This window comes from Homo sapiens, chromosome 4, assembly GCF_000001405.40.
Source record: "Homo sapiens chromosome 4, GRCh38.p14 Primary Assembly".
Classification (NCBI taxonomy): Eukaryota; Metazoa; Chordata; class Mammalia; order Primates; family Hominidae; genus Homo; species Homo sapiens.
In genome coordinates, this window is record NC_000004.12 from 109,802,478 (window position 1) to 109,815,405 (window position 12,928).

The 12,928-nt window shown below is 41.6% G+C and overlaps 2 long non-coding RNA genes across 2 annotated transcripts, besides 1 other annotated feature; one reads left to right on the forward strand and one right to left on the reverse strand.

Annotated features, from left to right (window-relative positions):
- Positions 1,195 to 4,111, forward strand: LOC124900757 (uncharacterized). Its single transcript, XR_007058226.1, has 2 exons — positions 1,195 to 1,358; positions 3,964 to 4,111. It is a non-coding gene; the product is annotated as an uncharacterized LOC124900757 (long non-coding RNA).
- Positions 10,442 to 12,905, reverse strand: GAR1-DT (GAR1 divergent transcript). The gene is made up of 2 exons (NR_186620.1): positions 12,354 to 12,905; positions 10,442 to 11,123 (listed from the first exon to the last, which is right to left on the reverse strand). It is a non-coding gene; the product is annotated as a GAR1 divergent transcript (long non-coding RNA).
- Positions 12,661 to 12,760: an enhancer, noted in NCBI's record as "active region_21808". NCBI's record gives its function as "activates an Ori minimal core promoter by ATAC-STARR-seq in GM12878 lymphoblastoid cells {active_cell/tissue: GM12878}" and the evidence as "EXISTENCE:reporter gene assay evidence [ECO:0000049][PMID:35858748]".

Here is a 12,928-nt window from a genome sequence, read left to right on the forward strand (position 1 = left end):
GAGTACAAGAAATTTTAAAAACAAGTATTCTTGTGCCAGTACCAACTATCATGCAGGGTTTATCTATTTATGAAATAAATCTGTGATAGCAGAAATGCTGACACAGTTGGGTTCATCAGAAGCAGACTTGAGACAGTGAGTGTGGGGCACAAGTGTTTGTTAGGGATCGATATCCATACAAGGAAGGGAGGGGAAGCAGGGGTGAACAGAGGTAGAAGTTGAACTGGAGTGAGTGTGACCTGTCACAGTGCCCCTGATTTCAGTATAAATGGCTGGGCCATTATATTCTGCCTTGCTTGGTCCCCTACTATATATTGCCCAGGAAGGGCATACACTTAGGTGAGACAGTTTTCTGTAGCTAAGGCAGACACAGAAGGATCTGACAGTTATGTGCTATCAGGAGGAGGTATCTTCTGACTACACTCTTTACAGCCAGGTAGCAAGACCTTCCTTGACAAGGGTTCTGGGAAACTCATCTCTGTGTCTTTCAGAGTACATACTTGCACCTCTTAGATCTATGTTCCATATACACTCCAGGAGTGGCTCCTTAAACATTTCAGTGGGTCCCTATTCTTGAGAGAAAACTTAGAAGAGGAAGTTAATGGGAAAAACTACAGCTCCTACCCTTGCAGTTGATCTTGGGGCTGTAGTTGAAACTTACCCTTGGCCCCCTTCCTATCCATTTTAGATTCCCTTTACCTTGACCTCCCACCTCTGCTGGTCTCGGTGACTTACTGGATGACATGTCCCACACTCTCTTTCAGGAGTGGTCTGAGCCCCTGGTTACCTTTTGTTTCTCAGGCAAAAGTTGCCATTTTTATCCCTACTGTCACAAGAGGCAGGCTGGACATGGTGGCTCACTCCTGTAATCCCAGCACTTTGGGAGGTCAAGGCAGGAGGATTGCTTGAGGCCAGGAGTTTGAGATGAGCCTGGGCAACACAGGGAGAGGTTGAGGCTGCAGTTAGCCATGATTGCACCACTGCACTCTAGCCTAAGTGACAAAGAGAGACCCTCTCTTAAAAAAGAAACCAAAAAAAGCAAAAAATAAGAGGTACCCCAGTAGGTTATGTGGGTTCTACACATCTTCCTCCCTGCCCACATTATAGTAATAGCAGCCCTACTTCCTCGGAATGATCAGGGCCAATTACCCTTGTGGATTCTGACTCTTTCTTGCTAGTTCCTAGACACAAAGAGCCCAGCGTACCCCAGGCAACAGCTCTGGTTTATAATTCCATGGGACTCTTGCTTGCCCCTGGTGAAAGTATAGTCCTTTGGAGACCAAGATAACGAACCCTGCAGAGTCTACAACTGTGGAGACAAGATGCACAAAGCCCCCAGTTGGTCAATGGTGGTGATGGTAAGTGTGGTAATTCTTGCCTTTATTCCTTGGTTCCCAGACCCAGGTATTCTTCCTATTGGGAACATAATGCTATATGAAAGTCTTTGATTGAATGTATATACTGCTTCCTGGAGGATAGCACCCCATTCTCACAAAGTTTTGCATTTAACTGGCACCTCAGCTCTGTCCTCAGCAGCCCATTATAACATTCTGTAAGTCCACCAGCTTCTGAGTGGTGTGGTATGTGATATGACCAGGGGATTGCATGATCACAGGCCCACTCCTGGGCCTGCTTTGCTGTAAAGTGGGCACCCTTGTCTGGCAGGATGTGATCTTTGCTAGATAATTAAGCACTCTATAATTCTCTGGATTATGGTGCTAATGGAGGCCCTGCAGGCAAGAAAGGCACACTCATACCTCAAATATGTCTATTCCTGTAAGAATAGACCACTGACCCTCCAAAGAGTGAAAGAATCAGATGTAATTAATTTGCCACTAAGTGACTAGTTGGTCTCCTTGAGGAATTGTGCCATCTTGTGGGGACAGTATTAGTGTCAGCTGCTGTCAGGTTGGGCATTTGTTAATGATGGGAGCTAGATAAGCCTCGGGGTCTGTGCTATTGGCCTCATGGGTGGCCTCTATCTCTGTTACCACGGTCACTTCATTCTTGTGCCCATCGTGCCAGCAGTGGGGTGGCTGATGACTGAGACTCAGTCATTTTGGCTCAATCGTTTTGTTGAGCCAAACTGGTTGAGCCATTTTGTTGGTTATTTAGTGCCTTTTCTTTGGTGGATGCTTTCTAGTAGGCATTAACATGTGATACAAAGATTTTTTTTCCTTTTTCTTTTTTCTCTCTCTCTTTTTTTTTTTTTTTTCTGAGACAGTGTCTCGCTCTGTCACCCAGGTTAGAGTGCAGTGGCGTGATCTCGGCTCACTGCAAGCTCCGACTCCCGGGTTCATGCCATTCTCCTGCCTCAGCCTCCTGAGTAGCTGGGACTACAGGCGCCCGCCATGACGCCCGGCTAATGTTTTGTATTTTTAGTAGAGATGAGGTTTCACTGTGTTAGCCAGGATGGTCTTGATCTCCTGACCTTGTGATCTACCTGCCTCGGCCTCCCAAAGTGCTGGGATTACAGGCGTGAGCCACCGTGCCTGGCCATGATACAAAGATTTGTATACTTCATGCCCAGTCCTGTATGTACACATATCCATTCTAGATTCTCTTCACTCCGACCTCCCACCTCTGCTGATCTCAGTGACGTACCTGATGACATGACCCACGGTCTCTTTCAGGAGTGGTCTGAACCCTTGGTTACCATTCACTTCTCAGGCTAAAGTTGCTGTTTGCCTCCCAGAACTTTTTGCTCTTGATCTTTGAATATTTTTCATTTCAGGAACAAAAGATGATCAGGAAATCACTATTGCCTGTGATTCTATATAAGTCTAGCCTCAGGCCACCTCTCTTTCCACACGAAGTGGATGACCAGGTGTACCCCCTGCAGCTCTGCCCTTTGGGAGGACTTTCTCTCACCACTGTCTTTCAAAACCACTCCAAAGTGTGGCTGTAAAGCTGCCTCTGTCTATTTTTAACTTGCCTATATACCAAGCCAACCCATCTGTAAACAAAATGTGACCTTTTCTCTCCTCCTTCAGCTGGTCATACCAAATTCCCCAGGGAGCTATAGGTGTGAGCTAAGGAAGGGCCATGAGTGCAACTGTTTGGATGCTGGGGACAGGGGCAGTCTGGGCTACCTGCTACCTGTTTATGCACATTGCTCATACCTCTGGTCCTGTTTGTGTTTGGCTCTGGATGTCACACTTCTATCTTACAATACATTTTTCCTAGGCCTGCTTGTCCTTATACTTTGCGGGTCCATTTGGATCCAGATCATAATGGGCAGTTCTGGCCGTATGGTGATGTAGTGTCCTGTGATTCATTATTCTACATTTACCAGGAACCAGTAATATACAAATTGGTCTTTAAAAGACACACAATTCTCTGCTGCAGATGGCATGGCCTTGCTCCAGAACCCTGAGGTCCTATATTGTGGTTCTCCCACAGGATCTTCCTCAAACACCACACAGCATTTTTTCCCCCATCACTGAGACTTCTGATGCCATAGAGTCTGCTGGACCACTGCAGAAGCCATTTCTGCTTTGGCAGCTGGAGCAGTATTCCCTACTGCAGAATATTTGCTCCCAGAGTCCAAAAAGCCTCATCAGATTTTGTGCTTCCTTCTTTGTTAAAGAAAGTACAAGATACAATAATTTGTCTTTTACATTAAAGAGGATGTGCTAGCACGTTCCTGAACACTGGTTTCCTAAAAATTTTACCGATGTGCCAGGCTTTATTTCCTACCCTCTGGAGCACATCTGTCTTACCAAAGTATTTAGCATGCTACTTCCTCATCTCCTCTGATCAAGATAATGCTATCAATGGAAAAACAATGGTGTCTTATGGGAAATCCAGATGCTCCAGATCTCTGCATATTATATTATATCAGAAGGTGGCAGATAAGGCCTGGGAAAACTTTAAGTGTATATGTTGCCCATTCCATGTGAATGAGAACTGTTTCTGATCCTTTCTGATTAAAATGCCCCCTCTCTCTTGCTCCTACTCCAGCCATGTAATGCACGTGCTTTCCGTTTGCTTTCTGCCATGATTGTAAGTTTCCTGAGGCCTCCCCAGAACCGGAGCAGATGCCAGCATCATGCTTTCTGTACAGCCTGTGGAACCACGAACCAATTAAACCTCTTTTCTTTATAAATTATCCAGTCTCAGGTATTTCTTTATAGCAGTGCAAGAATGGACCAATACAGTAGTTAACAAAAAGAAAATGTAAAGTGCTCATGAGGACTGAAATTTTATTCAGTTTAAGTCTCTTTCCTCCTATGATCTCAATGAAAATAAATATAAAAATAAAAGTAATTCCATTGCACCATTGAAAAATGAAGAAGGATTCATTAATAGGACATAAACAGTGAGGAATTACTAGAATACATATAATAGACAGGAAAAGATTAACTGCAAAACTTAAAGGAGTTTAAGAAGTGTCAAATTCATATAGGTGACAACGAGATATCCAAAATAAGAAAGACCATAGAATAAATAGAAACAGTAGAATCTGAGATAAGTGATAGACTAAGTAATTAATAAATAAAGGGAAGAACATTTGAGCCAGTGCCCCACTCGGGGGTAACTTGAGCATTTACTCCAGGCTAAAGCCTACAGTAAGGCTCTCTATAGCACATGTTCTAACCCAGAACCCCTTGAGTGGACACTGAGGCAGAAGCAGAGAAGCATTCTAGATGACACCAGCCTCCATGAAGTTAAGGGAGTCTCTGAACTTAAGAGGCAAGCCATAGGCAAACCCTTGAGGCCTCATATCCCACCCTTCTCCTGCAGTCATTGAAGGCAGAGCTCTATAATCAGAATCTACAAAAGCAGAGGTACAGCACAATAAAAAGACCAACCTCACTCATGAATATAGATGCATAAACTCTAAACAAAATATTAGCAAACTGATACAAAATCTTGAGTAGTATTCAGTAATCTTACCATTAATAATAATACTTACTTGACAGCATATATATATATATATATATATATATATATATATATATATATATGGAGGCTAAGGCAAATAAATAATTATGCTAATGTCATAAGAATTTCAGGGTAAGACAAACACAAGTTTAAATTCAAAGAAATGGAAACCCTGTAGTCTTAACTTTGAATTGGAAATACCGCTATGACCCTCAGTTTTTTTTCTTTCTAAAAATAATTACCTTCTAGTTGTCCACTGTGTCCACTGATAGGGCCTAGAAGTCCTAACAATCCAGAAGCAATGAGCACTCCTTAGTGGCAGATTGTCTTCTCTACTTACCATTTTCCATTTAAAAAACTAAGGCTCTTTGGAGAAAGGGCGATTCCACATCTGGGGCATAAAATGTGAAAGAAATATTTTGTACCAGAAAGCAAGGAAGCCATTGGAGGCTAGTTGGTGGTATTAAAATACTTGAAGGGGCTCTCAAAGATGAAATATTTTAAGCATTATAAGGAACAATGATAGCAAAAAATTGAAATAAAAAAGGAAATTTCTTTATTTCAGTTAATAATTGCAAAATAAATGATAGAATTATCATATTACTATTTTGCACTACCTTATGAGCCAATGGATCTAGTGATGATCACCAACAGCTGCTAAAACCGTTAGATGAAAAGCTGGCAGGGAACTCTAAGAGATTGATGAGGCTGATAACACTGATCCTACTGACTGATCTCATCTCCAAAGAGGGACAACCAGACTTTATGTGCCTCTTCCTGGGATGGTAGGAAGTATTCTTGCAGGTCGAAAAAAAAAAGAACCTGAACACAATCAAGTCTCTAGATCTCACTATCAATTAACTATCAGTTTATGGGAAATACAGAGGATAGAAAAACAATTTATACCACCACAAGGATAAGAAATATTATGTGTCTCTTCATGGGACGGTAGGAAGTATTCTTGAAGGAGGAAAAAAAGAAAAGAAAAGAAAAGAAAAGAAAAGAACCTGAAAACAATCAAGTCTCTAGATCTCACTATCAATTAACTACCAGTTTATGGGAAATACAGAGGATAGAAAAACAATTTATACCACCACAAGGATGTAATCAGTGAGAAAGTAGAAAATTCTACATGACAAAAAGACTCAGTATTTTCAACAAATAAATGCCATGGCGGGGCAGGGCGGGAAAAAAAACAGGGAGAGGAAATTGACACAGAATAAAAGAAAATTAAGAGACATATCAATAAAATACAATGTATGGCCCTTGTTTGGATCTTCATTTGATTGATCCAATTATTAAATTACATTTTGAAATAACTTGGAAAAATTCCACATGGACATTCGCTAATACTAAGAAAATTTTTGTTAGGTGTGGTAATGGTACTGTGCTTATGTTTTTTAAAAAAGTCCTCTGCTGGAGATTTATGAACAGAATGTTTACTATAAAACACTCTAGCAATAATAATTTTAATAATAACAGTGAGGAAATAGGAGGAATAACATTTGCAAAAGGCTGAAGGTGTTGTACAGAGAAGTTCATTATATTGCTCTTTCAACTCTTGTTTACGTTTGAAATTTTCATAATAAAAACCAAATAAAAGAGAAAGTCATGAGTTCACATTAATATTTACAATTAATGGCACCTTGGCTAAGTACTTCTTTTTTTTTTTTTTTGAGATGGAGTCTCACTCTGTCACTAGGCCAGAGTGCAGTAGCATCATTTTGGTTCACTGTAACCTCCGCCTCCCAGGTCCAAGCTATTCTCCTGCCTCAGCCTCCCGAGTAGCTGGGACTACAGATGTGTGCCACCATGGCCAGCTAATTTTTGTATTTTTAGTAGAGACGAGGTTTCACCATGTTGGCGAGGATGGTCTTGATCTCTTGACCTCGTGATCCACCCACCTTGGCCTCCCAAAGTGCTGGGATTATAGGTGTGAGCCACAGTGCCCAGCCTTTTTTTTTTTTAGGTGGAGTCTTGCTGTGTTGCTGGAGTGCAGTGGCACGATCTTGGCTCACTGCAACCTCAGCCTCCCGGGTTCAAGTGATTCTCCTGCCTTGGCCTCCCGAGTAGCTGGGATTACAGGCCCACGCCACCAAGCCCGGCTAATTTTGGTATTTTTAGTAGAGAAAGGGTTTCACCATGTTGGTCAGGCTAGTCTCCAACTCCTTACCTAAGGTGATCTGCCCCCCATCAGTCTCCCAAAGTGCTGGGATTACAGGCGTGAGCCACCATGCCTAGCTTCAGCTAAGTACTTTTAAAATTTTGTTCTAATATAAAAAATTTCAGCCCTATTCCTAGCTACCAGCCCTCTTCTCTGTCATTAGCAATACAGTCTCCCAACTTACAATGGTTACACTGAATAATTTTTCTACTTTACAATGGTGTGAAAGCAATAAGCATTCAGCAAAACCTGTATTTCAAATTTTAAACTTTGATCTTCTCCCTGGCTAGTGATATGCGTGCAATATTCTCTTATGATGCTGGACAGCAGCAGCAAATGAGACTCTCCAGTGTGCTGTGCTGCCAGATGGTTTTGCCCAACTGTAGGCTAATGTAAGTGTTCTAAGCACCTTCAAGGTAGGCTAGGCCATGCTATGATGTTCAGTATGTTACATATATGAAATGTATTTTCCACTCAGATATTTTCAACTCATGATGGGTTTATTGGGATATAACCCCATCGTTAAGTTGAGGAACATCTGTATCTCCTTACTGGTATTTTAATTAGATGTCCTAACCTTCCAGTGAAACAACTGGATGGACACCTTCTTAGATCTTGAATACCACAACTAGACTGTGCTTAATATACTTTCTCTACCCCCATCTCTTTCATATTTTCTTTGTCTCTTTGACCATCATTCTATGATCATTTGTTGATAAGTAGGTTCTCAAGGCATGAGCAGAAATTCAAAGCACAGAGGAATTCAGTTCCATTTAACAAATATTTATTGGGCATCAGCATCAATTTTATTCCAGGCACTGTACTAAGTGCTGAGGGTACCAAAACAAAGAAGATGTAGTTGTCATTCTTCAGGAGCTTATACTCTAGCGTGAGTTTCTGCAGATGTCATTAGGGGTCTAGGAGCGGTTACTAGGGATTCCAGAAGAGATTGGAATTTTTTTTTTTTTTTGGCATTCTTTTGAACTTCTTTCTCCATGTAATGCCAACACTTGTAGTAAATGACTAGTGATCAAACAACTCTGTTAGGAATTTCGCTAGAGGTCATTCACAAACATGACAGTGCTCCACACAACTATGTTCATTTCATTGAGTCCATTCTCAGCTTTTGATGCAAACAGGGGGTGCTGTTGATGATTGGTGGGTGCTGAATTAAGGAGGGACAACAGGTTGAGGGAGAGGGAGAGACAATAGGTTGATGACATCAGCCTCTCCTTCCTGATTTACATTTCCTAATCTCCCCTGGCCTCCCTTTATTCAGTCAACTGACAGGTAACGAGCTCTCCTGATGTAATAGACAATCAAAGACAACATTTTAAGGAAGCAATTTTAATGCCCCATAACTCAAATGCCTCCCTGTTGCTTTGCTAATGTTGTAAACGTTGTAAAACACGGTGTCACGCTCGTCCGTGTTCATGTGAAGAGTCCACCAACAGGCTTTGTGTGAGCAACAAGGCTGTTTATTTCATGTGGGAGCAAGTGGGCTGAGTCTGAAAAGAGTCGGCAAAGGGAGGTGGGGTGGGGCAGTTTTATAGGACTGGGATAAGCAGTGGAAAGTTACAGTTAAAGGTGGCTATCTATTGTCAGCAGAGGAGGGGGTCACAAGGTGCATGGTGGGGAGATCATAAGACCCATGGTCCAGAAGAAGAATGTCACGAGGTCGATCAATCAATCAGTTGGGCAGGGAAGGAACAGGTCATAATGGAATGTCTTAAGGTTGGTCAATCAGTTAAGACAGGAGCAGGCTGTTTCTCTTCCTTTGTAGTTTTCAGTTGACTCAGGCCATCTGGATGTATACACGCAGGCTTGGGCTCAGAGGCCTGACACATGGAGCTTGCAGGTTAAAAGTGAATTGCATTTGAAGATATCATTTTTTAAAAAAATTTCCTTGTTTAGTTTGCTTGTTTTATACTTGATTAGCATCTGTGTTTTACAAACATGACTTATAGTCCAATGTGGTGATTTTTGAAGATGAACTGGGAGATGGAAGAGAATTCTAAGTCTTAATAATTCTGATAAAGTTAGTAATGAAGAATCACAACTTATAAATGAAGCAATGGCTCCAGCAAAATTGAAAAGACACTTAACTGCAAACCATAGTAAAGGAGCAGATAATTTTATATGGCCTTTGGAAACCCAGAGTAAAGAATGTATTTATTTTTTTAAGTCACCTTCAGTAAAAAGGCCCAGAAAGCAAGTTATTTAGCAGAAGAACCTTTTGACTAGAAAAGGAAAGAGCCCCACAATTGATGGGACCTCACAATTTCAGCATGTATAATTACAGAGAGTCAGACGCCAGCATATGATGTAATGAGAAACTAAAACGGTTTCACTTTCAAAGTTTGATAAATTGATGTGATTGATGACATGTCACATAATGCTGCATAGCATCAAAAGAACCTAACAACTTCTCATCCAGGTTGATGAATCATCAGATTTCAACAACAAATGTCATAAAGTAGCATTTGCAAGATTTATAAATTACGGCAAAATTCAAGAAAATTTTTCTTCTATTAAACACTGCTGCAAAGAAGCAAAGGTAAAGATATATTTACTGTCTTCATATTGGAAAAAGAAGGTACCTCTTGGAAGAACTGTGTCAGTATCTATTTATGGTACCCTATCAACGATTGGTTCCCTCAGAGATTTCAATTCTCATTAAAATCCTGACATATTCACAACTCATTGCTTTCTTCCCAGAGAGTGCTGATGTCAGAAAGTTTTGGAGCAGAAATGAAAAAAGTTCTAGATGATGCTATGAAGATGACTTATCAAACATAATGCAATTCACTTCTAAAAATTTTTTTTTTTAAACTATGTGAAAACCTGGACAAGGCCCATATAAATCTCCTTCCACATGCGTAAATCTTATGGCTTAGCAGATCATTTTGGGGGAATCCAGCTGGCATGTCATGTCAGTACTCAAGCACCCTGTAAAGAGGTCTGTATGGCAAGGAACTGGGGCTGGCAGTAGGCAGCATCAGCTTGCTAGGCATGTCAGTGAGCTCCCTCAGAAAAGGATCCTCCAGCCCTAGTCAAGTCTTCAGTGGACTGCAGCCCCAGGTGATACCTTGACTGCAACCTTATGAGAGACCCTGGGTCAAAATCATCCAGCTAAGCTGCTCCTTAATTTCTGACCTACAGAAATTACACAAAATAATGTTTATTGACACTACGGATTGGAGTGAGAGAAGGTAATACAGATTCTGCTCCTTAACAGGACGCTTGACCTAGAAAGTGAATCACAGAAATACATTCAAGAAAACAGTAGCCCAGATTTTACCAAATTCTTTGAAGATAAAGAATGGCTGTGGAAACCAGCATTTTTGTTTTTTTTTGCATTGCTGTAAAGAAATGCCCAAGGCTAGGTAATTTATAAAGAAAGAGGTTTAATTGGCTTATGGTTCTGGAGGCTTTACAGGAAGCATGGTGCTGGCATCAGTTTCTGGTGAGGTCTCTAGAAGCTTACAATCATGGCGGAAGGTGATGGGGAGCCAGCATGTCACATGGCAAGAGTGGGAGCAAGAGAGAAATAGAAGAGGTCACAGACTCTTAAAACAACCACATCTCAAGTGAACTGAGTGAAAACTCACTTATCACCAAGGGGATGGTGCTAAGCCATTCATGAGAATTCTGCCCCCATGATCCAATCACCTCCCACGAGGTCCCATCTACGACACTGGGAATCAAATTTCAGCATGAGATTTGGAGGGAACAAACATCCAAACCATATCACCTACTTAACAGACATTTTCATCACATGAACTAGTTGAACAAGGATCTTCAGGCCCTGGAGAAAATCGTTTTACTTCGAGTGACAAGATTTTTGGGTTTAAATAAATATTGAATCTTTGGAAAAGTTATATTGCAAAAAGGGATCTTGAAATGTTTCCACTGCTGCTTGGACTTTAGAATAAGGAAGTCTCAAGTCTTACCGAAAACCACCGTGGGGAATTGCAGAACAAAACCGAACAATATTTTCCTTCCCCTGGAACACAACTGTATAACTACGTGAGGAACCCTTTCCTTGAATCTTCTCAGCCTGAGCACCTGGCTTTGAGAAAAGAGGAAGAACTTTGTGAATGTATGACTGTAGATATAAGATGAAATGTACTTATTTGTGTTTCTCCTTCTTTTTTTTTTTTTTTTTTTTTTTGAGACGGAGTCTTGCTCTGTTGCCCAGGCTGGAATGCAGTGGCGCAATCTTGGCTCACTGCAATCTCCGCCTCCCGGGTTCAAGCGATTCTCCTGCCTCAGCCTCCCAAATAGCTAGGATTACAGGCGCCCGCCACCACGCCCGGCTAAGTTTTGTATTTTTAGTAGAGACAGGGTTTCACCATGTTGGCCAGGCTGGTCTTGAACTCCTGACCACAGGTGATCTGCCTGCCTCAGCCTCCCAAAATGCTGGGATTACAGGCGTCAGCCACAGCACCTGGCCTGATCTGTGCTTCTACAAGTTTTGGATTTCTGAGAAAGAAGAGCAGCTTGACATTTTTAAGAAAGTAATAAACATTTTGACATACTTTAAAACTTCTTGTTCAAGCAAGCTTTTTCTCACTAAGTTTTAAGAGTAAAGACAAAAATCATCTCATTTCAGTTGAAAATGCAATCTGTGTGTGACAATCTCAAGTTCAATTCAGAATTGAGCAAATACACAGCAAAAGATAAGCAAAGGTTTCATACTAAATAGGTAATTTTCATTTTTTGTTTCAAAAATAATACACTTATATAGGCCCATAAAAAGACCAACATTCGTTAAAATCAAATTGCAGCATTTACTAAACTAAAAGAAAAAGAACAAGTAAAGTTTCCTCTCTCACTTATTTTGTTTTTTGTTTGTTTTGAGACCAAGCCTTGCTCTGTCGTCCAGGCTGGAGTGCAGTGGCGTGATCTCGGCTCACGGCAACCTCCGCCTCCCGGGTTCAAGCGATTCTCCTGCCTCAGCCTCCCGAGTAGCTGCGATTACAGGCGTGTGCCACCATGCCCGGCTGATTTTTGTATTTTTAGTAGAGAAGGGGTTTCACCGTATTGGCCAGGCTGGTCTCGAACTCCTGATCTCAAGTGATCCATCTGCCTTGGCCTCCCAAAGTGCTGGGATTACAGGCGTGAGCCACCACGCCCCGCCTACAAAGGTATTTTAAAATCCCATTTACAATAACCCTCTGAATTAGATAGGTACCAAGTTCCACCCTCTTCTAAACACGAGATCAAATATCAAGGTAAGGTCTCAGAGGGTTTGGGTGTAAAAGACTCCAACCAAATTTAATAAATGGGAAGTCATTACCTTTATTTGTGAGAGAAGCTTTGGAGAATGTGGGGGAAGCTGATGTCAAATATAAAGGGCTTAAAGAGAGAAGAGGGAGAGGAGCTTTCAGCACAGTCCAGTTCACAGCCCGTCGGTGCTCAAAACATACTTGAATACCTGGTACAAAAGATAAAAATGATGGTTTGGTTTTCTATAAGACAGCATAGTTTCTTTAAAATTACACACACACATGCATTGCTTTTCTTCCTTTAATTAGTTGAGACCATAGGACAAAAGAAGAGGCATAGTTGAGCGCGTAATGGTGCGAAAATCAAAAGGTTGGGAAGAAACAAGAAACTCAGATAAACGCTTCCGTCGGCTGTGACAGGTTCTGAGGCGCCCAGATCTACTGGACATAGCGCGGCTCAGAAGCCTCAGAGACCTGTCCGCACAGTTCCTGAAGTTAGCAACAAATTAGTGAGTGCTGTTGCGGGCCATTTTGCAGCCAGAGAAGCAAATGCGCAAATGCGCCCAGCCAGTCAGCACGGACTTCAAGAACCAACTTCATTCCTTGCAAGGTGCTTTAGTTCTGGCCGTTAGGGCGGCAACCAAAC